The sequence below is a fragment of the Homo sapiens genome, chromosome 22 (assembly GCF_000001405.40).
Source record: "Homo sapiens chromosome 22, GRCh38.p14 Primary Assembly".
In the NCBI taxonomy this organism is placed as follows: domain Eukaryota; kingdom Metazoa; phylum Chordata; class Mammalia; order Primates; family Hominidae; genus Homo; species Homo sapiens.
Window position 1 is genome coordinate 30714553 of NC_000022.11, and position 25878 is coordinate 30740430.

Sequence of the window (25878 nt, forward strand, 5' to 3'; positions counted from 1 at the left end):
TCTATGTTCATTGGACAACTCCTCCCCTTTTCCCCTTTCCCTACCCCTGGTCACCACCATTCTACTTTCTATTTCTTTTTATTTGAGACGGAGTTTCACTCTTGCCCAGGCTGGAGTGCAATGGTGTGATCTTGGCTTACTGCAACCTCTGCCTCCCGGGTTCAAGCGATTCTCCTGCCTCAGCCTCCCGAGTAGCTGGGATTACAGGTGCCCACCACCATGCCTGGCTAATTTTTGTATTTTAGTAGAGATGGGGTTTCACCATGTTGGCCAGGCTGGCCTTGAATTCTTGACCTCAAGTGATCCACTCACCTTGGCCTCCCAAACTGCTGGGATTACAGGCATGAGCCACCACGCCCAGCCTTCTGTTGTTTCTTTTGGATATATACGCAAAAGTGGTATTGCTGTATCATATGGTAGTTCTATTTTTAATTTTTTTAGGAATCTCCATACTGTTTTCTGTAGTGATTATACCATTTTACATTCCCACTGAAAATGTTTCTTTTTTTTTTTTAATTTTATTTTGTAGAGATGGGATTTTGCTATGTTGCTCAGGTTAGCCTGGAACTCCTGGGCTCAAGGAATCCTCTCTCCTCATCCTCCCAAAGTGCTGAGATTACAGGCATGGGCTACTGTGCTTGGCCCAACAATGTTTCTTAAAGGTTCCAGTTTCTCTACGTCCTTGCCAATGATTTATTTTCTGTTTTTGTTTTGTTTTGTTTTTGATAGTAGCCATCCTAATGGATGTGAGATGGTATCTATTGTGGTTTTGATTTGCATTTCTGTGATGATAAGTGATGAGCATCTCTCTCTCTCTTTTTTTTTTTTTGGCCAGGGAGGAGGGGACAGAGTCTTGCTTCATTGTCCAGGCTGGAGTGTAGTGGCATGATCATGGCTCACTGCAGCCCCAACCTCTGGGGCTCAAGTGATCCTCCCACCTCAGCCTCCTGAGTAGCTGGGAATACAGGTGTGCACACCACCACACATGGCTAATTTTTAGATTTTTTTTTTTTTTTGAGGTGGAGTTTCACTCTTGTTGCCCAGGCTGGAGTGCAATGGCGCCATCTCGGCTCACTGCAACCTCTGCCTCCTGGGTTCAAGCGATTCTCCTGCCTCAGCCTCCCAGGTAGCTGTGATTGATTACAGGTGCCTGCCACCATGTCCAGTTAATTTTTTGTGTTTTTAGTAGAGACGGGGTTTCAACATGTTGGCCAGGCTGGTCTTGAACTCCTGACCGCAGGCGACCTTCCCACCTTGGCCTCCCAAAGTGCTGGGATTATAAGCATGAGCCACCACACCTAACCTTTTTTTTTTTTTTTTTTTAACACAGGATCTTGCAGTGTTATCCAAGCTGGTCTCGAATTCCTGGGCTCAAGTGATCCTCCCACCTCAGCCTCCCAAAGTATCCCACCTCAGCCTCCCGAAGTATCGGGATTACAGGCCTGTGCCACCATGCCCAACCACAAGCATCTTTTCTTTCTTTCTTTCTTTCTTTTTTTTTTTTTTGAGACAGAATCTCGCTCTTGTCGCCCAGGCTGGAGTGCAATGGCATGGTCTCGGCTCACTGCAACCTCCACCTCCTGGGTTCAAGTGATTCTTCTGCCTCAGCCTCCTGAGTAGCTGTGATTACAGGTGCCTGCCACCACACCCAGCTAATTTTTGTACTTTTAGTAGAGATGGGGTTTTGCCATGTTGGCCAGGCTGGTCTTGAACTCCTGACCTCAGGTGATCTGCCTGTTTCAGCCTCCCAAAGTGCTGGGACTACAGGCATAAGCCACCACACCTGGCTGAGCATCTTTTCATATGCTTGTTGATCGTTTGTATAACATCTTTAGAGAAATGTCTGTTCAAATCCTTTTTTTGTTTGTTTGTTTTTTTGTTTTGTTTTGTTTTTTGTTTTTTTGAGACAGAGTCTCACATGGTTGCCCGGGCTGGAGTGCAATGGCTCAATCTCGGCTCACTGCAACCTCCGCCTCCCAGGTTCAAGCAATTCTCCTGCCTCAGCCTTCTGAGTAGCTGGGATTACAGGTGCCCACCACCACGCCTGGCTAATTTTTTGTATTTTTGTAGAGATGGGATTTCACCATGTTGGCCAGGCTGGTCTCGAACTCCTGACCTCAAGTGATCTGCCCGCCTCAGCTTCCCAAAATGCTGGGATTACAGGTGTGAGCCACCATGCCTAGCCCCTTTGCTCATTTTTTAATCATTTATTTGATTTTTGTTGTTGAGTTGTAGAAGTTCTTCTTACATTCTAGACATTAACCCACTGTCAGATATATGATTAGCAAATATTTTCTCCTATTCCATAAGTTTCCTTTTTACTTTGTTGATTGTGTCCTTCAAGGAACTTAAGTTGTGTCCTTCGATGGAGTCCCATTTGTCTGTTTTTGCTTTTGTTGCCTGTGCTTTTGGTGTCATATCCAAGAAATCATTGCCAAATCCAATGTCATGAAACTTTATGCCTATGGTTTTCTCTAGGAGTTGTACAGATGTTACATTTAGGCATTTAAATCTATTTTGTTTTAATTTTACTGTTTTTGTGTGTGTGTGTGTGTGTGTGTGTGTGTGTGTGTGTGTGTGTAGAGACAGGGTCTCGCTATGTTGCTCAGGCTGATCTTGAACTCCTGGCCTCAAGTGATTCTCCTACCTCAGCCTCCCAAGTAGCTGGGATTATAGGCAAGAGCCACTGCACCTTGCTGGGTCTTTAATCCATTTTGAGTTAATTTTTGCATATGGTGTGAGATAAGGGTCTAACTTCATTCTTTTGCACAAGGACATCCAGTTTTTTCAACATCATTTGTTGAAGAGACTGTCCTTTCCCCCACTGAGTCATCTTGGCATCCTTGCCAAAGATCATTTGACACAGGGAAAAAATCAAGGCCTTTTGAAAAACGCCTACACTAAGGGGAAATGACACATGTTTTACTGTCCAGCTGCAGCTGTGCCATCCAGGACCAGATGGGAAGTTACATCCAGGAAAGTGGACCTCTAGAGTCCCTTCTCACATCTCTAGGCTTTGCTCACTAGCTATAAAGCCCTGTACTTACAAAAAGAATGATTGCCATAGCCTGTAAGAAAGCAGATGGAAGTCAAAAGCAGATCCTTAGGTTGATGACAAAGATTGCTGGTTGAGACTCTTATTTTGACACTTAGAGTCTCCTTATTCATCTTCTATTCATCTCAAATATGTGCCAACATGACTCCCCCTCAGGACTGGCCTCATCTCTGCCTCTCCAGCATCATCATCTCCTGCTGATCCCTTGCTCTACTCTGACACCTCAGTGACAATGGGTTGTGTGTGCATTCTGACAGGCGAGGGTGGGCGGGAGTTAGAATCGAGTCCTCAGCTCACCTGTCCTCCTGGATCAAGCAACTTCAAAACACATTGCCCAGTGGTGATTTAAACTCTGAGGTTAAAGCAGCAGTGGTTTTCTCTTGCTTGAGGGTCCGCAGATGACCAGGCCAGGTCTCCTTCAGGCAGTGGCACTTGGGAGTAAGCTAGGAGGTGTGTCTTCCTGTTGTGATGGCAGAAGTACAGGAGGGTAATCGAGAGTCACAGCATCCCAGCTTGAGCCTGCACACCCTCACTCCATTCCACATTCCATTGGCTGAATCAAGGCATGTGGCCCTGTCCAATATCAGTAGGGTGGGAAGATATCCATTCCCCATTTTAGAGGATCCTACAAAGTCCAGTGGCAAAAGTTGTGCACTTAAAATTGTAGTTCAGGGATGGCAGAAAGAAACAGGAGAAATGCTTCAGTCTGTCACAGCCTCTAACCTCCCTTCTAACGATCACATCCTTTAGCCTCTTTATCTATAGAGTGAGAGGACTAGGCTAGGTGATGTCTGGGGTTCTTTCTATCCTTACCTTTCTGAAAATTTGATGGGAAACCATCTGGAAGGAGGAGGAGGAGAGATGAGATATAAAAGATGACCTGTATGCTTGGCACTGGGCTTGGCACATCAAAGGACTCGGGAAATGTCTGTTGACTTAATGGCTTGGAGATCTGAGTCCAGGAGGCCAGGAATCTGGTGACTGACCTGGTAGGGAAAGAATGGGGGATGCTTTAGCTGGGCCTCAGGTGTTCACTGGCCTTCCTGCCCCTGGGGCCACAGGCCCTGGGCACTGCTGTTGGAGTTGCAACTTTACAACTTCGGAGTTGCAGTGACAACATCCGGGTGCTTGTCTCCCCCTTTTTTTTCCCCCTGCCAGTACTAACAGATTTGTTGCAGAAATGGCCTGGGCCCTTGCTCCTGAGCCCTGGGGCAGCATGGGAACAGGGCTGATGGTGTGTTCTGGTTCTCAGACTTGGGAGCCTTGCGGGCAGACTGAGTGGGGACTTTTTGCTGAGTTGTTCATGCACTGTGACAAGAAAGGCACCTTCTTTGAATTTTTTATTTTCAGAAAATAAAATTATTTTGCTAGATACAGGCATGGAAGCAATTTTCTTCTTTTGAATCCTGCAGTTCTTCTGAGTTTGAATTTATCTGTCAGCTTACTGAGCCTTTGCCTTCTAGAGACGGGATTAGAGTGTTCTTAACCTTGAGCTGATTCCCGCTGTGCCTTCTCTCCAGCCTGTACTTACCTGAGTGCCTCGCAGTCCTCTCAACATTATCCCTGGCTTCAGGCTGCTGCCCTCCTCACTCCCCTTCTCTTTCAGCCTTAGTTTGTGCTCGGTGGCAGTGTGTGTCATTATGTGTGCATGTGCAGCTGTGTGGCAGGACCAGTAGCTCATGTTTTGTCTGTTCCCTCCCAGAAGTCCCAGCCCACAGTAAATCAGTGTTCAGTAACTGATAGCCAGCCACACACTGCAGAGATGTGCCATGAATGGGAAGCTGATTAGATTTTCCAGGGCCCTGGAAAAGTTGCCTGGTGTGGTGGCAGAAGAATCTCTAGGTAAGGAACTTAAAAGTCACCAAGGCCAGGCACAGTGGCTCACACCTGTAATCCCAGCACTTTGGGAGGCCAAGGTGAGTGGATCACTTAAGGCCAGGAGTTTGAGACCAGCCTGGCCAACATGGCAAAATCCCATCTCTACCAAAGATACAAAATAAGCCGGGAGTGGTGGCGCACCCCGGTAATCCCAGCTACTTGGAAGGCTGTGGCATGAGAATTGCTTGAACCAAGGAGGCAGAGGTTGCAGTGAGCTGAGATGGCACCACTGCACTCTATCCTGGGCAACAAAGTGAGACTCTGTCTCAAAAAAAAAAGAAAAAAAAAAAAAGTCACTGAGCCAGAGCCAGGATAGCTTGAGGCCAGGAGTTCAAGACCAGCCTGGACAACATAGAACCCATCTCTCAAAAACAAACAAACAAACAACAAGGGAACAACAACAACAACAAAAAGTGCCATCAAGCCAACCATCTCTCTGTTCATTGACTTCTTCCCATAGCATCTCAACCCCCTTATCACCTCTCAGGTAACAGAGAGCAAACCTCTAAGATAAGCTGATTGTTCCTTAAACAACTCTGAATGTTAGAAAATCCTTCTGTTGAGCTGAGATAGGTTTCCGTGCAACCTCTGTCCTCATTGGGATATTTCTCTGTCCCACACAGCTGGGGTTATCCCTTCCACATGGATGTACTTTTCATCTTCAGAGAGGCTGTCTCAGTGTTACTGTGTATTATCTGTTGCCGCATAACAAATCACCTTGAAATTTAGCACTGTAAGACAACAATAAGCATTATCTCATTGTTTCCATGGATCATGAATTCACCTATGGGTGATTAATTGGGGTGATCCTGAGTGGGCTCAGGATCTGTCATGAGGGCTGCGGTCATTTGAAGGCTTGACTGGCTGGAGACTCCACTTCCATTGTGGCTCACTCACACGCCTGGCAAAATGGTGCAGGCAATTGGCAGGAGGCCTCAGTTCCTCACCCTGTGGATTTCTCCAAAGGGCCGCTCGAGTGTCCTCACAACATGACAGCTGGCTTTTCTAAGGGAGAGCGAGCCAAGACAGAGTTAGGCAGGAACTCCAGTGTGCCTACCCTGAAATGCACACTCAATATCCTCTTAGTTACACAGGTGATCTCTGGTCAGTGTGGGAGGAAAACACTACACATCCATGACCTTCACTTTCCTTATCTGTCAACAGCCCTGCTTGGCTATTTGAAACAAAAAGGGAAGTACTTGGCAAACTGTTTCATAAGTGTAAGGGATATTTTTTAATAAAAGGGTTTTGCTAGTAATGAATGCTTAACTAATGAGACCCTCCTGTTTAACTCCCATATTCCTGTTTAACAGGAAGGCAGGACTGGCTTTGCCAGAGGATGAGGAAGACATAGTTGAGGCCTCCTTGGGGAGCAGCCAGGTTGTGGAACCTTGTTGTGGGAGACCCTTCTCTGCTGATGGAGTCCTTCCCTTGCTCAGTCCAAATGGTAGATGGGAGGCCTGGCACGGTGGCTCACGCCTGTAATCCCAACACTGTGGGAGGCCGAGGCAGGCAGATCACTTGAGGTCAGGAGTTCGAGACTAGCCTGGTCAACATGGTGAAACCCCGTCTCTACTAAAAATACAAAAAAATTAGCCAGACATGGTGGCGGGTGCCTGTAATCCCAGCTACTTGGGAGGCTGAGGCAGGAGAATTGCTTGAACCCAGGAGGAAGAGATTGCAGGGAGCTGATATGCACCACTGCACTCCAGCCTGGGTGACAGAGGGAGACTCCATCTAAAAAAACCAAACCAAACCAAAACAAAACAAAAAAACAACAAACAAACAAACCCAAAAGACAAATGGTGCATGGGAGAAAGAAGGTCACATGTCATTGGTTACTGGGTGCTATGGGGGCCCAGAAGACTAGCTGCCCCATGGAGGCCGGGATCTCATCTGTCTCATTCACCACTCTGAACCCAGTGCCTGGCCTGTGGCAGGCCCTCAGTGAATGCTGCGCTGACTGAATGAAGGACGAGTGTGCAGAGCAGGGGTGAAGGTGGTCTCCCACGCAGACTCTGTTTGGGGAGTCTGCAACTGCCTATGGTGTGGGGTCTTTGGTTCTGCAGGCTGCTGTTGTGTTTCGACAGGAGTTTACCTGCCATTCCTGCTTCAAGTGAAGCTTGATGGGAGTCGCTTTTACATAAGACCATTTCATCTATTGTTTGTGTCAGTGTCTATAATACTGGAGGCCATGAAGGGAAGAAGCAAAATTCCTGAATAAATTGTATGTCTCACCATCAGATCTGTAAACTCATATTGTAATCCGAACATTTAAATTTATAATTGGCCTTGGAGTGTTAAATTTGGAGTTAAATGTTTCCTTAATTATCTCAAATTCATGGCATTTCAATCTTTCACTTGGCTTAGTAACTGGTTTTCGTTTTTAGAAACTTTGCTTAGTGTAGTATTTTGGTAGGTTTTTGTGCTGCGGGACTTTTAAGCTTGTGAAAGGAAGAATCTGGGTTGCAGGAATATCCTATAGATTGTGGCTGCAGCTACCGAGATTGTGTGATGATTTAAAAAACAAATCTGCTCAAGTATCCTGAATTCTGTGGAGGAGGATCTGGATGTATAGGCCCACAGCTATGCTTGAAATAGATCCAGCCCTGTGCCCTAGAGACCCTGCCAGCTCCCAGCTTCTTGTCTTGAGACACTTAGTGTGCAGCCTCATTCCTCTGCCTGGCTCCCTGGGACTCAAGAGATCCCCTTTGTCACCAAAGTCATTCAGTGCTGCTGTTTGTCATGGCTATACACAGGGAAGATTTAAACAATACTTACAGATTTTATTTTTTATTTTGGAAATTTTCAAAATATACAAAAATGGAGATGTTGGCGTGATGAAATCCTTGTCCCCATCACCCAGTGTCAACAAGTCTCACCTTAGGGTCAATCAAGGGTCCACACTCAGTCAAATCCCACCCAACCTTAACTTTCATTTATAAATATTTTAGTACAGTGTGTATCTCTTTAGAGTTTTTTTAAAGTAATCAGAACAGTACCAACATACCTAAAAATTTAACAATAATTACTTAATGTTATCAAATATCTAGTCAATACTCAAATTTCCCCACTGATTTATAATTTTGTTTATAGTTTCTGGAAGTCAAGATCCTGATCTTTCTTTCTTTTCTCTTTTTTCTTTCTTTCTCTCTTTCTCTTTCTCCTTCCTTCCCTCTCTTTTTCTCTTTCTTTCTTTTCTTTCCTCTTTTTTCTTTCTTTCTCTTTTTTCTTTCTTTCTCTTTCTCCTTCCTTCTCTTTCTCTCTCTTTCTTTTTCTTTCTTTCTTTCTCTCTCTCTGTCTTTTTTTTTTTTTTTTTGACAGAGTCTCACTCTGTCACCCAGGCTGGAGTGCAGTGGCGTGATCACAGTTCACTGCGGCTTTTACCTTCTGAGCTCAAGTGATCCTCCCACCTAGCTCTCCGAAGAGCTGGGACTACAGGCGTGTGCCACCACATCAGGATAATTCTTTTTGAATTTTAGTAAAGACAGGATCTCACTATATTGCCTAGGTTAGTCTTGAACTCCTGGGCTCAAGTGATCCTCCTGCCTCGACCTTCCAAAGTGTTGCTGGGATTACAGGCATGAGCCACCACACCTGCCTCAAATAACTTTCATACATTACAATTGGTTGATATTTCTTCTAATATATATTTATTTATTTTTTGCTGGAGTGCAGTGGCACAATCTCAACTCACTGCAACCTCTGTCTCCTGGGTTCAAGCGATTCTCCTGCCTCAGCCTCCTGAGTAGCTGGGACTACAGGTGCGAACCACAAAGCCCAGCTAATTTTTGTATTTTTAGTAGAGACGGGGTTTCACCATATTGGTCAGGCTGGTCTTGAACTCCTGACTTCATGATCCATCCGCCTCAGCCTCCCAAATTGCTGGGATTACAGGCGTGAGCCACCACACCCAGCCTTATTTATTTATGTATTTATTTTTCCTGAGACAGAGTCTTGCTCCGTTGCCTAGGCTGGAGTGCAGTGGCGTGATCTCGGCTCGCTGCAACCTCTGCCTCCCAAGTTCGAGCGATTCTCCTGCCTCAGCCTCCAAAGCAGCTAGGATTACTGGCGTGTGCCACCACGCCCAGATAATTTTTGTATTTTTAGTAGAGACGGGGTTTCACCATGTTGGCCAGGCTGGTCTCGAACTCCTGACCTTAAGTGATCCACCCTCCTCAGCCTCCCAAAGTGCTGGGATTACAGGCATGACCCACCGCACCCGGCCAGATTTTTATTTAAAAAAACCTTACCTATTTACAGCAGTTTTAGATTCACAACAGAATTGAGCAGAAGGTACAGGATTTCCCATCTACTCTCTCCCGACACAGGCATATCGTCCCCCGTTACCAACATCCCCATCAGAGTGGTCTGTTTGTTACAGTGGATGAACCCACATCGTTATTACCCACAGTGCATGGTTTACATTAGGGTTCACTCTTGGTGCGGTACCTTCTATGGACTTGGACAAATGTCTAATGGCATGTATCCACCATTACGGTATCATACAGAGTATTTTCACTGCCCTAAAAATCAGTCTGTGCTCTGCCTATTCATCACTCCCCATCCCCTAACCCCAAGCAACCACTGATCTTTTTACCGTCTCCATTAGTTTTGCCTTTTCCAGAAAGTCAGGTAGTTGGAATCACACAGTATATACAGTATTTAGCCTTTTTGGATTGGCTTTTTTCCCTTAGTAATATGCATTTAAATTTCCACCATGTCTGGTTTTTGTTTGTTTGTTTGTTTTGAGACGGAGCCTCACTCTGTCGCTCAGGCTGGAGTGCAGTGGCTTGATCTCAGCTCACTGCAACCTCCATCTTCCAGGCTTAATTGATTCTCCTGCCTCAGCCTCCTGGGTAGCTGGGATTACAGGTGCTTGCCACCACACCCGGCTAGTTTATTTTATATTTTTAGTAGAGATGGGGTTTCACCATGTTGACCAGGCTGGTCTCCAACTCCTGACCTTAGGTGATCCACCCACCTTGGCCTCCCAAAGTGCTGGGATTACAGGCGTGAGCCACCATGCCCAGCTTCCACCATGTCTTTTCATGGTTTGTTAGCTCATTTCTTTTTAGCACTGAATAATATTTCATTGTCTAGATGGACTATAGTTTATCTGTTCAGTCACTGAAGGACATTTTGGTTGCATGCGTATTTTGGCAGTTATGAATAAAGCTGCTATAAACACCCGTTTGCAGGGTTTTGTGTGGACCTAACACATCTTGCTATGAGCGGGGCAGGGACGAGACAGTCCAGGTCCGTGTCTCATGGAACTTGTGCTTTAGCTTGTGAACTGTGCATAACAGACAATGATAAAGTAAACCAAAATATTATTTCTGGACAGATATCCCAGTGTGCTCCATGGAAAGAGCCCTGTGCTGGTGGCAAAGAAACCAATTTATAAGCCGGGCGCAGTGGCTCACGCCTGTAATCCCAGCACTTTGGGAGGCCGAGGCGGGTGGATCACGAGGTCAGGAGATCGAGACCATCCTGGCTAACATGGTGAAACTCCCTCTCTACTAAAAATACAAAAAAAAATTAGCCGGGCGTGGTGGCAGGCGCCTGTAGTCCCAGCTACTCGGGAGGCTGAGGCAGGAGAATGGCGTGAACCCAGGAGGCGGATCTTGCAGTGAGCTGAGATCGTGCCACTGCACTCCAGCCTGGGTGACAGAGCAAGACTCTGTCTCAAAAACAAAAAAACAAAAAAACAAAAAAAAAACAAAAACAAATTATAGGCTGGGTGCAGTGGCTCAGGCCTGTAATCCCAGCACTTTGGGAGGCCAAGGCAGTCAGATCTCTTGAGGCCAGGAGTTCAACACCAGCAGCCTAGCCAACATGGTGAAACCCTGTCTCTACTAAAAATACAAGAATTAGCCAGGCATGGTGGCATGCACCTGTAATCCCAGCTACTACTCGGGAGGCTGAAGCATGAGAATCACTTGGACCCGGGAGGCAGAGGTTGTAGTGAGCTGAGATCGCACCACTGCACTTCGGCCTGGGAGACAGAGTGAGACTCTTCAGCCCCCTCCACCAAAAAACAAAAACAAAAACAAAAACAAAAAAAAAAACACACAAAAAAAACAAATTCTAGTTCTGCCTTTGGTATTCACCAGTTCTATGGACCAGGGCAAGTGATTTGTCCTTTCCTGATCTCCTCCCCTTTCCTGGCTGTAAAATGGGGCTAATTTCCTCCAACAAGTACCTGACATATGGAATATACTTGATAATACTTGATAAATATTTGCTAAATGAATCAATGTCTGCTTTTCTAATTTATGGCCCTTGTGAGGGTCAAAAGAGTCTTTTTTTTTTTTTTCCTGAGACAGAGTCTCACTCTGTCACCCAGGCTGAGTGCAGTGGTGCAATTTTAGCTCACTGCCTCCCAGGTTCAAGTGATTCTCATGCCTCAGCCTCCCAAGTAGCTGGGATTACAGGTGTGCACCACCACGCCTGGCTGATTTTTGTATTTTTAGTAGAGATGGGGTTTCGCCGTGTTGCCTAGGCTGATCTCAAACTCCTGGCCTCAAGTGATATGCCCACCTCAGCCTCCCAAAGTGCTGGGATTACAGGCATGAGCCCCCCGGCCAAAACAGTCATGTTCATGATAGGCTCCCATAGAAGGTGAAGTGCTACATAGATGAAAGTTGTATTGATAGGAATGCTGTGCTTCATAAATTACTCTCATCCTATGTCTGTGTAAAAATGTAGAGATGTCATTTACAATAGCAAAACTTGGAACCAACCCAAATCCCCATCAATGATAGACTGGATAAAGAAAATGTGGCACATATACACCGTGGAATACTATGCAGCCATAGAAAAGAATGAGTTCATGTCCTTTGCAGGGACCTGGATGAAGCTGGAAGCTATCATTCTCAGCATTCTAACACAGGGACAGAAAACTAAACACATATTCTCACTCATAAGTGGGAGCTGAACAGTGAGAACACATGGACACGGGGAGGGGAACATCACACACTGGGGTCTGTCAGAGGGTGGGGACAAGGAGAGGGAGAGCATTAGGACAAATACCTAATGCATGTGGGGCTTAAGACTTAGATGACGGGTTGATAGGTGCAGCAGACCACCATGGCACATGGATACCTGAGTAACAAACCTGCACGTTCTGCACATGTATCCCAGAACTTAAAGTAAATAATAAATAATAAATAAATAAATGTAGTAATGTGACATTCAGTGATGGGAGAATGGCTTCCAGGCCTCCTTTTTAATTGTTATTTTTAAAATTACATTAGAAGTGTCCTTGTAGTCGCATTTATTTAACATTTCTCAAGGGAAACTTTAAATGGCAAAGAATCAGGCCAGTAGAAAAATGAAACAATGTCAGGTCTCAGAGTGACAGCCTCATCTCCGAAAGTGAGCACTGCGTAAGTAGAGGCTTCTATTTGATGGGCAGCGGCTGACATTTGTGATGTTGAGCATTGTCTGAGTGGCACCATCTGACTAACTTTAATGGCTTTTGAGAGTATAAGTGAACCTGGGTGACAAAAGTCTGTGTAGCCCAATTGGTAAGACATGGAAGGGGCTGGGAGTAGGTAGGTGGGCCTGGCTTTGGTGGCTGTGTCCTGTGGAGCCCCAGCCTATGCATGTGGAACAGGGAGGTACCATCTCTACTTTTCCATCACATCTTAAATGGCTGTCCATGTGAGACATTGCTAAGGTAAGTCCTCAGGATGTGGTAGTTAGGATGAACAAGCTGAGCTTCCTTCCTTCCGCCTAGGAGGCTCCTAACGGTGTCCCCTTGACCTGAGAGGTAGAAGAACTGAAAACTGCTTTTCCTCCTGTCTGTGTCTCTCAAACATTGCCCTTCCTGCCCTCTGACATGCCTTCTGTGGCCAGTGCCCAAGTACACCAGCAGGTTTTTAGTCAAAAACCACAGAAAACCAAACCTGGATATGTTAAGCAGAAAAGCTCATATATATGCAGAAGGGATCTTGGGTAGCTCACAGAATCTCTGGAAAGGCAGGAAAATATAGCTCTCAGAGAAGAGGTGAGAACAAGGGAGGCTGGACAGCGAGCTCTGTGGACAAAGTCATGCCACAGAACCACCCCAGAGAGGACACTGATACCTGGACACTGCATGTTGATGCCACCTGGGCACTGCTGCCTCTGCTGCCCCTAAGAACCAGTCATTGTTGCTGCTATCATTGCCAGGAAATAATTCTCATTCCTGTTTTTTTAAATATAAACTTTAACCTAAGTCTAATATGCGTAGAGAAAAGTAGACAAATAAGTGTTTAGCTCAGTGAATGTTCATAAAATGAACACCCTGAAAAACCACTACGCCTATGAAGAAATAAAACATGACCACCCTGGGCCGGGCGCAGTGTCTCACACCTGTAATCCCACCACTTTGGGAGGCTGAGGCGGGTGGATCACAAGGTCAAGAGATCAAGACCATCCTGGCCAACATGGTGAAACCCTGTCTCTACTAAAAATACAAAAATTAGCTGGGTGTGGTGGTGCGTGTCTGTAGTCCTAGCTACTCGGGAGGCTGAGGCAGGAAAATTGCTTGAACCCGGGAGGTGAGGTTGCCATGAGCCGAGATCACACCACTGCACTTCAACCTGGTGACAGAGAGAGACTGTCTCAAAGAAAAATAAAGGGCCGGGCACGGTGGCTCATGCCTGTAATCCCAGCACTTTGGGAGGCTGAGGCGGGCGGATCACGAGGTCAGGAGATAGAGACCATCCTGGCTAACACAGTGAAACCCCATCTCTACTAAAAATACAAAAAATTAGCCAGATGTGGTGGTGGGTGCCTGTGGTCCCAGCACTCGGGAGGCTGAGGTAGGAGAATGGCGTGAACCTGGGAGGTGGAGCTTGCAGTGAGCCAAGATCGCGCCACTGCACTCCAGCCTGGGCAACAGAGCAAGACTCCGTCTCAAAAAAAAAAAAAAAATACAAAAATTAGCTGGGTGCAGTAGTGCACGGCTGTTTTTGCTCAACATTATACTTGTGAGATTTTTTCCAGGTTTTTTTGTTTGTTCATTTTTTGTTTTTGTAGAGACAGGGTCTAGCTGTGTTACCTAGGCTAGAGTACAGTGGTACAATCATAGCTTACTGTAGCCTCAAACTCCTGGGCTCAAAGGATCCTTCTGCCTTAGACTCCCAAGTAGCTGGGTCTACAGGCACATGTCAACATGCCTGGCTAACTTTTTCTTATTTTTATAGAGACAGGTTTTGCTTTGTTACCCAGGCTGGTCTCGAACATCTAACTTCAAGCAATCCTCCTGCCATGGTCTCCCAAAGTGTTGGGATTATAGGTGTGAGCCACTGCCTCTTCCAGGTTCTTATATGTAACTAACTCATTTGTTTTAATTGCTGTATTATATTCCCCCATTTGGATGAACCACAAAATGGATAAACCACCATTTGTCTGTCCATTCTAGTGTGTATGGACCTGCAAGTTGTTTTCAGATTTTGGCTTTTAGGAATAATGTTGTGAACATTTTGGTACCTGCCTTCTGGTAAGCATATGTACACATTACTAATGCCGAAATCCACAGGAGTAAAATTGCTTAATCATGAGACACATATGCATTCACTGATAACTGACGAGGTTGAGTGCTTTTTCATATGTTTATCAGCCATTTGGGTATCTTCCTTTGTGAAGTGCCTACTCAAGTTTTTTACCCATTTTAAATTGGTTCATTTCCTAGTATAAAGGTTCCCCAAAAAATTAAAAATAGAACTACCATATGATCCAGGAATCCTACTTTTGGACATTTATCCAAAAGAACTGAAATTAGGATCTCAAAGATACTAGCACTGCCATGTTCATTGCAGCATTATTCACAGTACCCACCTAAATGTCCATCGATGGATGGATGGATCTAAAATTATTGGCTGGGCACGGTGGCTCACGCCTGTAAACCCAGCACTTTGGGAGGCCAAGGTGGGAGGATCACCTGGGGTCAGGAGCTTCTGACCAGCCTGGCCATCGTAATGAAACCCCGTCTCTACTAAAAATACAAACATTAGCTGGGCATATTGGTGGGTGCCTATAATCCCAGTTACTTGGGAGGCTGAGGCAGGAGAATCGTTTGAACCCAGGAGGCAGAGATTGCTGTGAGCCAAGATTGTGCCATTGCACTCCAGCCTGGGTGACAGAGAGAGATTCTATCTCAAAATATATATATATATGTGTGTGTATATATGTGTGTGTATATATGTATACACAACAGGGAGATAGCCTTAAAAAGGTAGGAAATCAGCTGGTCATGGTGGCTAATGCCTGTAATCCCAGTACTTTGAGAGGCCGAGGCAGGTGGATCACAAGGTCAGGAGTTTGAGACCAGCCTGGCACACATAGTGAAACCCTGTCTCTACTAAAAATACAAAAATTAGCCAGGCTCTCGTGGACTTCAGCTCTTGTGGACTTCAACACGTTGATTATGGGTTTCTAGCCTCCAGAAGTGTGAGATAATAAATTTCTGGGTTTTTTTGTTTTTTGGGGTTTTTTTTTGAGATGGAGTCTCCCTCTGTCACCCAGGCTGGAGTGCAGTGGCACAATCTCGCTCGGCTCACTGCAACCTCTGCCTCCCAGGTTCAAGCGATTCTCGTGTCTCAGCCTTCCAAGTAGCTGGGACTACAGGCGCATGCCACCATGCCTGACTAATTTTTGTATTTTTAGTAGAGACGGGATTTCACCATGTTTCCCAGGCTAGTCTCAAACTCCTGACTTCAAGTGATTTGACGACCTCGGCCTCCCGAAGTCCTGGGATTACAGGCGCGAGCCACCGCACCCAGCCTGGAGTTTGCTTTTAAAGCCAATTTTTATAAAGTATAAAAGTATAACATACATGCAGAAAAACTGGTCAATTACGAGGATGTAGCTAGTGAATTTTCATGGAGTGAGCACCTCCCTTATTTTGAATTTATTTCCCCCCACTTATTGTTAACAAACAGTGGCTTGTCATTTACAGGCCTGTGTCCTTCCCAAGCTAGACCATTGAGGCCAGAAAGATGTGTCGTATTTATTTTTGTATCTACTCCCTCCCCAGTTTCTAGCACAGTTCCTTTATATAGTAGCCCACAGGAAGTGCTTGCTGAATTAGAATGCAGAAGGTTGGATGGGAATTTCACAGTGAATCAGGGTCACCTTGAGCTTGCATTGAATGGAAGTTCCATATAAGACTAAGTACTTTGCTCCAGAGTGGTAGCTTTTGGTCTTTCTGTGCATCTGGATTCAGATTCGCTGCCCTGTCTCTCTCTCTCTCTCTCTCTCTCTCTCTCTCTCTCTCTCTCTCTCTCTCTCTCTCTCTATATATATATATATATATATATATATATATATAATTTTTTTTTTTTTTCCCATGGACATTTTTGGGGAAGGGCTTCTGGAAAACATAGCCCAAGGCAGGGATTAAAGAGCTAATGCTGGCCGGGCGCGGTGCCTCACGCCTGTAATCCCAGCACTTTGGGTGGCCGAGGCAGGTGGATCACGAGGTCAGGAGATCGAGACCATCCTGACTAACACTGTGAAACCCTGTCTTTACTAAAGATGCAAAAAATTAGCCAGGCGTGGTGGCGGGCGCCTATAGTCCCAGCTACTCGGGAGGCTGAGGGAGGAGAATCGCTTGAACCCAGGAGGTGGAGGTTGCAGTGAGCCGAGATCGCGCCACTGCACTCCAGCCTGGGCGGCAGAGTGAGACTCCATCTCAAATAAATAAATAAATAAATGAAAAATAAAGAGCTGACACTTTGGGAGGTGCAATCCCAGGGCAGTGAAGGAGCAATGGCAAGTGGCAGAGGAGAGATCAAAGTGACCACCCAGCTCATTCCCTTGCTGGATGAGACTTCACAGCGAGCTACAGAGACACGGTGGGTCGCTCAGCAAGCATGCTTGCCTGGCACATGGACTTTTCCAGAACTTACACAAGAAGAAAATACACCTCAGAGCCATCCGTGGAGGGAAGAGTGGGGGGAGATTCATCTGACCTGTTCTTTTCATATCCTATTTTCCACGGTGGCATTTCATACAAGCCCAGAAGTGGAGGTACGGCGTGACCTGGATGAGGCATCATCGAGAGAGACAAAGAAGGAGGTGGTCGAGGGAATCTGAGAAGGCGCACAAGGTTTGTGTCCAATACAGTCCACACCTTGCGCTACTCAGGTCTGCTCGTGCCCTCCCATGATATCAGCTCTCCTACTTCAATGTGGGAATCTCCGTTTTCCTTGGAGAACAAAAACATCCTCATTCCTTCCCTGAGCAGGAAGGTACAAATCCCATCAGTGACAGAAGCCATTTCCTGGTGCTGGCCCACTGGGGTTACCAGGAAGAATAAAGCAAGAAGGTTGTGAAACAAGGTCATCTGCTGCTGCTGTGGCCGGTCCTGGTGTGCTCATTGTTACTCATCATTTCCCTCCTGCACTACCCACCCTAGACCCTCTCCACTCTCCGCCAGCACTCTGGCTGGTCTGTGATGTTTGCGCTGAGTGGTCTGCATGTGTTGTTGGCCTTGCTCATTATCAGCCGTTACCAATCATGGAAATGTTAAGAGATACCGGTGCTAGGCACAGTGGCTCATGCCTGTAATCCCAGCACTTTGGGAGGCCAAGGTGGAAAGATCACCTGAGGTCAGGGGTTCAAGACCAGCCTCACTAACATGGTGAAACCCCATCTCTACTAAAAATACAAAAATTAGCTGGGCGTGGTGACGGGTGCCTATAGTCCCAGCTACTCGGGAGGCTGAGACAGGAGAATCACTTGAACCTGGGAGGCGGAGGTTGCAGAAAGCCGAGATAGCGCCATTGCACTCCAGCCTGGGCAACAAGAGTGAAACTCTGTCTCAAAAAATAAATAAATAAATAAAAATAAGAGATATCCCAAGGAGTCCTCTGGGTTTTATTCCAGACATTCTCCTCCCATTTCCAAATGGGCCACTCACCTAATTCCTCATGGCAATTAGGATCAGTGACCCCTGGCGGTAGAGTCACTCCCCTGGCAGTAGAGTCACTCCCCTGGCAGTAGAGTCACTCCCCTCTTTGTTGGTCACTGGCATGAGGAGCCGTAGGTGGCCAAGTGGTTGTGGCAGTGTCCAGATCAGTGGAATCTTTGTTTCACATTCCTCCCTTACCCCAGGACTAGATCCTCTAACCCAGCTGATCCCAAGTGTGTGAGGATGGGAAGCACACACCTTGCAAAGGGCAACCATGCGTGATGGTGAGCAGGGCCACTCCTGGACCTGTCTGCTGTAGCTGTGGGGGACATGGCACCAGATATCAGTTGTCAGCTCAAGGCATCCTGGAGGACAGAGGCTCAAACCTGAGGGGTATTTCTCCCTCGGTGTCCCCGCTAAGCCAGTAGGCCATTCCATTGTTTTGTCAGGCTCGCTGCCCCCTAGTGCAGCTGGGTTCCTGTGATTCCAGTGAATTTATGGCCAGGAGTCACTGGCACAGCTGCTAGGCTGAAATGGGCCACTTTGTATAAGGCTGTATCGAATGGAAGTCCAGGCCAGCACACGAGGCATTCAGTAACTTTGGACCATGGTGCTGCTGGAGGCACTACAGGCAGGGAAGGCAACCTCATTACCAAAAAGCACTTCCGTTTCATGAAGGATAAATTGTGTATCCCTCCAAGGTGGAAGGGGTCTGATATAGTTAGTGGCTGTCTGGCTCTTCCCAAGGATGGGCCATATCAAGGAGGGTTCCGTGTTGGTTTCTACTGCTGGTAGATCGGGCACTCAGTGGAGCCGCGAGATGAGCCTTGGTGCTGGGGAGGCAAAAGAGGAAGGAAAGCAAGGGGAGGATGCAAAGTAACATGAGGCTTCAAGACCTCGCCACTGCTTTGCAGCAAACTGTAAGGCTCACAGAGGCCACTCATGTTCTCTGGGCTCATGGACTTCTCTGGAAGGTTTGCAAAGATACCTTGGAGAGATCTGCAGGGGGGATAAATGAAGAGCATTTCCTGGCCTGGTTTCCATCCACTTCCCATTTCCCACTGCTCATTGTTTAACCTGTGAGTCACTAACCCTTCCATACTGTGGGTTGCAAAAATCCAGCTTGTCGGTGACCACTCAGGAAACCAGATTGCATACTCTGAGATGCAGTACTACTCCCAAGCCCAAAAATGCAGGGGCGACTTGGCTTAAATGGAGGAGAGAGAGAGGGGACGGAGGAGGTGCACCATTCTTAGTTGATGTACAAGGTTTGGGTCCAATACAACTATGTAAGTCGCTAACCATAGATGGTCTCCATGGCCTAAAAAGCAATGCATTAACTACTACAGGCTTCCAAGTTCTGATTGCTGGAATCCTTGACAGAGGTGAGAGTGTGACTGGGGTCATTGCGAGTATTATTTTGTTGAGAATCGGTGTAGTTAACTTAGTGGGATGTTGGTTGTGGTAAATTCTCTTGCAGTTAAATTGTACTGCAGATGTTTAGTATTTTGTTTATATTTGTTCTAAATCAGATATCAAAGTAATGCCTCAAAACATGTCTCCTTAAAAGTGGCAGAAAATACATTATCATTTTTTTTTTGAGACGGAGTTTAGCTCTGTCACCCAGGCTAGAGTGCAGTGGTGTGATCTCCATTCACTGCAACCATCACCTCTTGGGTTCAAACGACTCTCCTGCCTCAGCCTCCTGAGTAGCTGGGATTACAGACATGCACCACCAGGCCCATTTAATTTTTGTATTTTTAGTAGAGACGGGGTTTCACCATGTTGGCCAGGCTGGTCTCGAACTCCTGGCCTCAAGTGATCTGCCTGCCTCAGTGCTGGGATTATAGGCATGAGCCATCATGCCTGGCCACATTATCATGTATTTTGGATATGAGCCCTGATGAAACTGGGAGGCCTTAGATCATGGCTGGTAGTGAGGCCACTGAAGCTGCTTAGGGCTCAGTGAGACCAGATGGTTCTGGAATATTGCACACCTCCATAGCCTCTTGCGGGAGAGGAGTTACCACTGCAGCTTGCAGGGCCCAGGTCTATAGTGTACTGTGAGCAGGGCTTTAACTTTGCCACTGTCTGGACTATTGGACTTCCCTGGAAGCTTAACCTTCATAGAGAGGGTTACCTCAGCCAGGACTCACAGTGGGAGAAACAAAATCATTTATTTACAACATGAGCAGGTGCACTACTCCTAAACAACAATCTGGATTTTAGGATACATCCCTAAATTTTAGACCCTTTCAGGACTGAGTTTGAAGCCATTGAAAAATTTTTAAAACTGAATAAAAAAGGTAAAAATAATACCTTGGCTACAGGTTAAAAATGGATTGAACATAAAATATCTAAATGAAAGAGAAGAGCAGAGCTAAATTCTAAGACTAGCAAATGTATCAGATCTTGATAATTTTAAGGGTTGTTAGCCCCCACATTTATATATTTCACTGTATAATTCCTTCCAAATAATGTAGAAAGATAAAACTGAAAAGTTAAAGTAAGAGGCTGGGTGTGGTTGGTGGCTCATGCCTATAATCCTAGCACTTTGGAAAGCCAAGGTGGGAGGATAACTTGAGCTCAGGAGTTCAAGACCAGCCTAGGCAACATAGTGAGACCTTGTCTCTACCAAAAACAAAAAAAAATTAGCTGGCATGGTGGCACATGCCTATGGTCCCAGTTACTTGGGAGGCTGAGACAGGAGGATTGTTTGAGCGCAGGAGTTCAAGGCTGCAGTGAGCTATGATTGCACCATTGCACTCCAGCCTGGGCAACAGAGTGAGACTCTATTTCAAAAATAAAATAAAACCCTTAATAAAAAGTAACACTAACTAGAATGAGTAAAGGATCAATTTAGATTTGGATGCTGGGTGACTAGAAAAACTAATCTGCTATATTTTCATTTTCTGAAGTGCTCATGTTACTTATTCATATCTACCTGCTCTTGTTTCATTTTTATCAACTTCTATTTCATTAAATTGTTTCTTCTTCTTTTTTCTTCTCTTCTCTCTCTTTTTTTTTTTTTTTTTTTTTTGAGACAGGGTCTTAACTCTGTCACCCAGGCTGGAATGCCTGGCTAATTTTTGTGGTTTCTGTAAAGACAGGGTTTCACCATGTTGCCGAGACTGGTCGTGATCTCCTGGCCTCAAGTGATCTCCCACTTCACCCTCCCAAAGTGCTGGAATTACAGGCGTGAGCCACTGCTCCCCAGCCTATCCCCCTTTTACTGATGTTATTCTTTATCTTTGAGAATCCTAAACCTATTTATATTAAATACTTTTCATATTATTATGGCTGAAGCGATTCTTCTTCTTCTTCTTCTTCTTTTTTTCTTTTAGAGACAGAGTCTCATCTCACTCTGTTGACCAGGCTGGAGTGCAGTGGCATGATCTCGTCTCACTGCAACCTCCTTCTCCCAAGTTTGAGCAGTTCTTGTGCCTCAGCCTCCCGAGTAGCTGGGAATACAGGTGTGCACCACCATGCCCAGCTAATTTTTGGTATTTTTAAAAAATTATTATTTATTTATTTATTTTGAGTCAGAGTCTCTCTCTGTTGCCCAGACTGGAGTGTGGTGGCACGATCTCAGCTCACTGCAACCTCTGCCTCCCAGGTTCAAGTGATTTTCATGCCTCAGCCTCCCGAGTAGCTGGAATTACAGCTACACACCACCATGCCCAGCTAATTTTTGTATTTTTAGTGGAGATGGGGTTTCACCATGTTGTCCAGGCTGGTCTTGAACTCCTGACCTCAAGAGATCCACCCACTTCGGCCTCCCAAAGTGCTGGGATTACAGGTGTGAGCCACCATCCCTGGCCTGAAGTGATTCATCTTCTAAGCATTGAATTCATTGGCTTCTTTATTAGCATTGGTTTTCTTCACAGGTTTTGAATTTTGGTTTTCAGGCTCATCTCGACTGGGAGGTCTTCCCTCCCTCGCTCCCTCAGCCTCACCCACTCTTCTTTGTCTAGTGATTTTTAAAATGCCTTTACTTAGTCCCCTGGAGAGTCCCGTCTAGAACCAGATCCTATGATGGGGGCTTGGGGCTTCTGCCCTTGAGTGACATTGGGAATATCTCCCATCCAATCCCTGACCCTGGGCAGATGAGTTCAGGTTCTGGCTACAAGACTTTGCTATCAGCTGTGACCCTGAGAAGGTGATAGCAGCATTAAATTGTTAAAATTTTGAAATAACTTAGATTTACAGAAAAGTTAGAAAAATAGTGCAGACAATTCCTATATACTCTTTGCTTAGCTCCCCTTAGTGTTAACATCTTACCTCACCAAAGTACAATTCTCAAAACTAGAAAACTAACATCATTATAATACTATTAACTAAACTCCAAACATTATTCAAATTCCATTAGTCTCTTTTTTTCTATTTTATAATTCAATCCAAGATTCTGTATTGCATTTAGTGATTTTTCTGTGTCCATAATTTCATCTACTTTTGTTTAGGAATATCTGTCCTCTTTCCCCCATTTATTTAGTTAATGGGTTATAATCTGGTATGATCACTGCTGGGTAACTTCTAGTCCAGCCCTGATTTCATGCAGTGGCCTGGCTGCCATCTCCCACCCTGTGCAAGTCACTTCGATTCTCCATTTTTCCACAGGAACTTCTGGAACTCTTTTTTTTTGAGACGGAGTCTTGCTCTGTTGCCCAGGCTGGAGTGCAATGGTGCAATCTTGGCTCGCTGCACCCTCTGCCTCCTGGATTCAAGTGATTCTCCTGCCTCAGCCTCCTAAGTGGCTGGGATTACAGGCATGCATCACCACACCTGGCTAATTTTTCTATTATTAGTAGAGATGGGATTTCACCATGTTGGCCAGGCTGGTCTCGAACTCCTGACTTCAGGTGATCCTGCAGCCTCGGCGTCCCAAAGTGCTGGGATTACAGGCGTGAGCCACTGCGCCCGGCCTTTTTTTTTTTTTTTTTTTTTTTTTAAAGACAGGGTCTCACTCTGTCACTCAGGCTGGAATGCAGTGGCATGATTATGGCTCACTGCAGCCTCTACTTCCTGGGCCCAGGCAATCCTCTCACCTCAGCTCCTGAGTAGCTGGGACTACAGGCGCACACCACCTCACTTGGCTAATTAAAAAAAATTTTTTTTTGTAGAAATGGGGGTCTTCCTATGTTGCCCATGCTGGTCTTGAACTCCTGGCCTCAAGTGATCCTCCCACCTTGGCCTCCTAAATTGCTGAGATTACAGATGTGAGCCACCACGCCCAACCTAACTTCAAGAACTCTTGACCATCTCTGTTTCTTTCCTGATTTTAGGCCCACAATGTTCACTGTCTTAGTTTTAGGATGAGACTCTAAATCTTTTTTTTTTTGAGATGGAGTCTCGCTCTGTTGCCCAGGCTGGAGTGCAGTGGCACGATCTCGGCTCACCACAACCTCTGCCTCCAGGATTCAAGCGATTGTCCTGCCTCAGCCTCCTGAGTAGCTGGGACTACAGGCATGCAACCACCATGCCCTGCTAATTTTTGTATTTTTAGTAGAGACGGGGTTTCACTATGTTGGCCAGGCTGGTCTCAAACTCCTGACCTCGTGATCCACCCGGCTCGGCCTCCCAAAGTGCTGGGATTACAGGCGTGAGCCACCGTGCACGGCTGAGACTCTAAATCCTTAACGTAGCCTACAAGGTACTGAATTTAGTCCCTGCCTGATTTTCTTTTCCTTTTTTTTTTTTTCAACTCCAGAAATATGCTTACCCACCTGCCTGATTTTTTTGCTTCATTTTTCTCTCATTTGCTCTCTTGTTGTTGGCACTCTGGCCAAAGGACCTTTCTTTCTATTTCTTGGAAGCTGAGAACTGCCCCTCACCTGGTGGTCTTTGCCCCTGCTGCTCTCTCTGTCCGGAACACTGCCCATCCCCCTCTTATTTCTGAGCTAAGCCATAATGTCATTTTTGGTGAGTCACTACACTTACACCTGAACAATTTCTAGCCTAAAATGTCCTTAAATCTAAAAGTGTCAGGCTCCCAACAGGCATGCCCAGCTTCACCAGTTTTCTAAATTAGAGTGACTGTCCTTCGAACAAAAGATACCAGCAGCTAAGAGTTGGGTTTTCCTTCAGCTACACGTCATCTTCTCTAAGGAATGTGCCCAAAGCACAAGGGAATTGGAAAAGACAATCGCTGTTCAAAAAAAGACAAATGTCTTTTTTTTTTTTTCTTTGAGACGGAGTTTCGCTCTTGTTGCCCAGGCTGGAGTGCAATGGTGCAATCTTGTCTCATTGCAACCTCCGCCTCCCAGGTTCAAGTGATTCTCCTGCCTCAGCCATCCGAGTAACTGGGACTACAGGTACCCGCCACCGTGCCCGGCTAATTTTTGTATTTTTCAGTAGAGACGGGGTTTCACCATGTTAGCCAGGCTGGTCACAATCTCCTCACCTCAAGTGATCCACCTGCCTCCTCCTCCCAAAGTGCTGGGATTACAGGCGTGAGCCACCGTGCCCAGCTGACAAATGTCTGATTGAGTGTCGAGTCATTTGACTTTAGAACTGATAGAAGAATCAAAAAAATGACAGATGATGAACAGCCAGGGAAAATAAATGAGCATTAAAAGGTAGCAGAAAATTACCAAATGAGCTCCTGTCACTGGCAGTATTAAATGCTGGCCAATCACTCTTCCTTTTCTAACACCCTTCATGGGAAAAGATTTATTATGTCGTAGGGGTTCTGAATTTCCTTCAAGTGTCTGAGGAGTGAGTTAGATCCAGTCATGATAGTTGGATCTCCGTTTTCCGACATTGATTGTAATTGGAAATGGCATACACTTTAGTCACCTACCCTCCCCTTATTTTGATACCATTAGCTCCATCATCTTATAAGTCCGTTGTTATGAGATTGCACTATGTTTGCCCAGCCAATGCCTTCAACTAATCCATGTAGAGCCAGAGAATGGGACATCCTTGCTCTGTAGATCTCATGATAGAACAAAAGGGCAGCATCAGGGAGACATTGGCCCCAGGTGCCTCCCAGCAGGAGATGCCTCTACGTCTGCCCCCTCAGGCTCTGGGCCTCCAATTTCAGTTTTAATGGCAGGATCCCAACCTGCTCCAACTCTGTAGTTCTTTTTTTTGTTTGTTTTGAGACAGAGTCTCGCTCTGTCACCCAGGCTGGAGTGTAGTGGCACCATTTTGGCTCACTGCAACCTCCGCCTCCCGGGTTCAAGTGATTCTCCTGCCCCAGCCTCCCAAGTAGCTGGGACTACAGGTGCACGCTACCATGCCCGGCTAATTTTTGTATTTTTGTAAACGCCCAAGGGGTTCACCTTGCCTGCTGCCTAGACGGAGGCGATTCATGAAAACAGGGGAATTGCAATAGAGAAAGAGTAATTCACACAGAGTCTGCTGTGCGGGAGATGGGAGTTTTATTATTATTCAAATCAGTCTCCCTGAGCATTCAGGGAGCAGAGTTTTTGTTTTGTTTTGTTTTGTTTGTTTGTTTGTGTTTGAGACAGAGTCTCGCTCTGTAGCCCAGGCTGGAGTGCAGTGGCGCGATCTTGGCTCACGGCAACCTCTGCCTCCCCGGTCCTGGTTTAAGCAATTCTCCTGCCTCAGCCTCCCGAGTAGCTGGGATTACAGGCAAGAGCCACCACGCCCAGCTAATTTTTGTATTTTTAGTAGAGACGGGATTTCACCATGTTGGCCAGCTGGTCTTGAACTCCTGACCTCGGGTGATCTGCCCATCTCGGCCTCCCAAAGTGCTGGGATTAAAGGTGTGAGCCACCGCGCCTGGCCAAGGGGAGCAGAGTTTTTAAGGATAACTTGGAGGGTGGTGGGGGAACCAGTAAGCCAGGAGTGCTGATTGGTCAGGGATGAGATCACAGGATGTTGAAGCTGTCTTCTTGTGCTGAGTCAGTTCCTAGGTGGGGGCCACAAGATCAGACGAGCCAGTTTATCGATGTGGGTGGTGCCAGCTGATCCATCAAGTGCAGGGTTTGCAAAATATCTCAAGCACTGCTCTTAGGAGCAGTTTAGGGAGGGTCAGAATCTTATAGCCTCCAAATGCATGACTCCTAAACCA

At 46.1% G+C, this 25878-nt stretch overlaps 1 protein-coding gene and 1 non-coding gene across 4 annotated transcripts in view, besides 2 other annotated features; both read left to right on the forward strand.

Moving 5' to 3' along the window:
- The window catches only part of OSBP2 (oxysterol binding protein 2), a 214032-nt gene that overhangs the window by 20771 nt on the left and 167383 nt on the right, over positions 1-25878 (forward strand). The gene's annotated exons all lie outside the window — the stretch shown is intronic.
- Positions 2296-3495: an enhancer, noted in NCBI's record as "CDK7 strongly-dependent group 2 enhancer chr22:31112835-31114034 (GRCh37/hg19 assembly coordinates)". NCBI's record gives its function as "activates an origin of replication core promoter dependent on BRD2, BRD4, P300/CBP, MED14 and CDK7 cofactors, with strong dependence on CDK7, by STARR-seq in HCT116 cells {active_cell/tissue: HCT116}" and the evidence as "EXISTENCE:reporter gene assay evidence [ECO:0000049][PMID:35650434]".
- On the forward strand, positions 17005-17089 carry MIR3200 (microRNA 3200). Its single transcript, NR_036171.1, has one exon. It is a non-coding gene; the product is annotated as a microRNA 3200 (primary transcript).
- Positions 25796-25855: an enhancer, noted in NCBI's record as "active region_18843". NCBI's record gives its function as "activates an Ori minimal core promoter by ATAC-STARR-seq in GM12878 lymphoblastoid cells {active_cell/tissue: GM12878}" and the evidence as "EXISTENCE:reporter gene assay evidence [ECO:0000049][PMID:35858748]".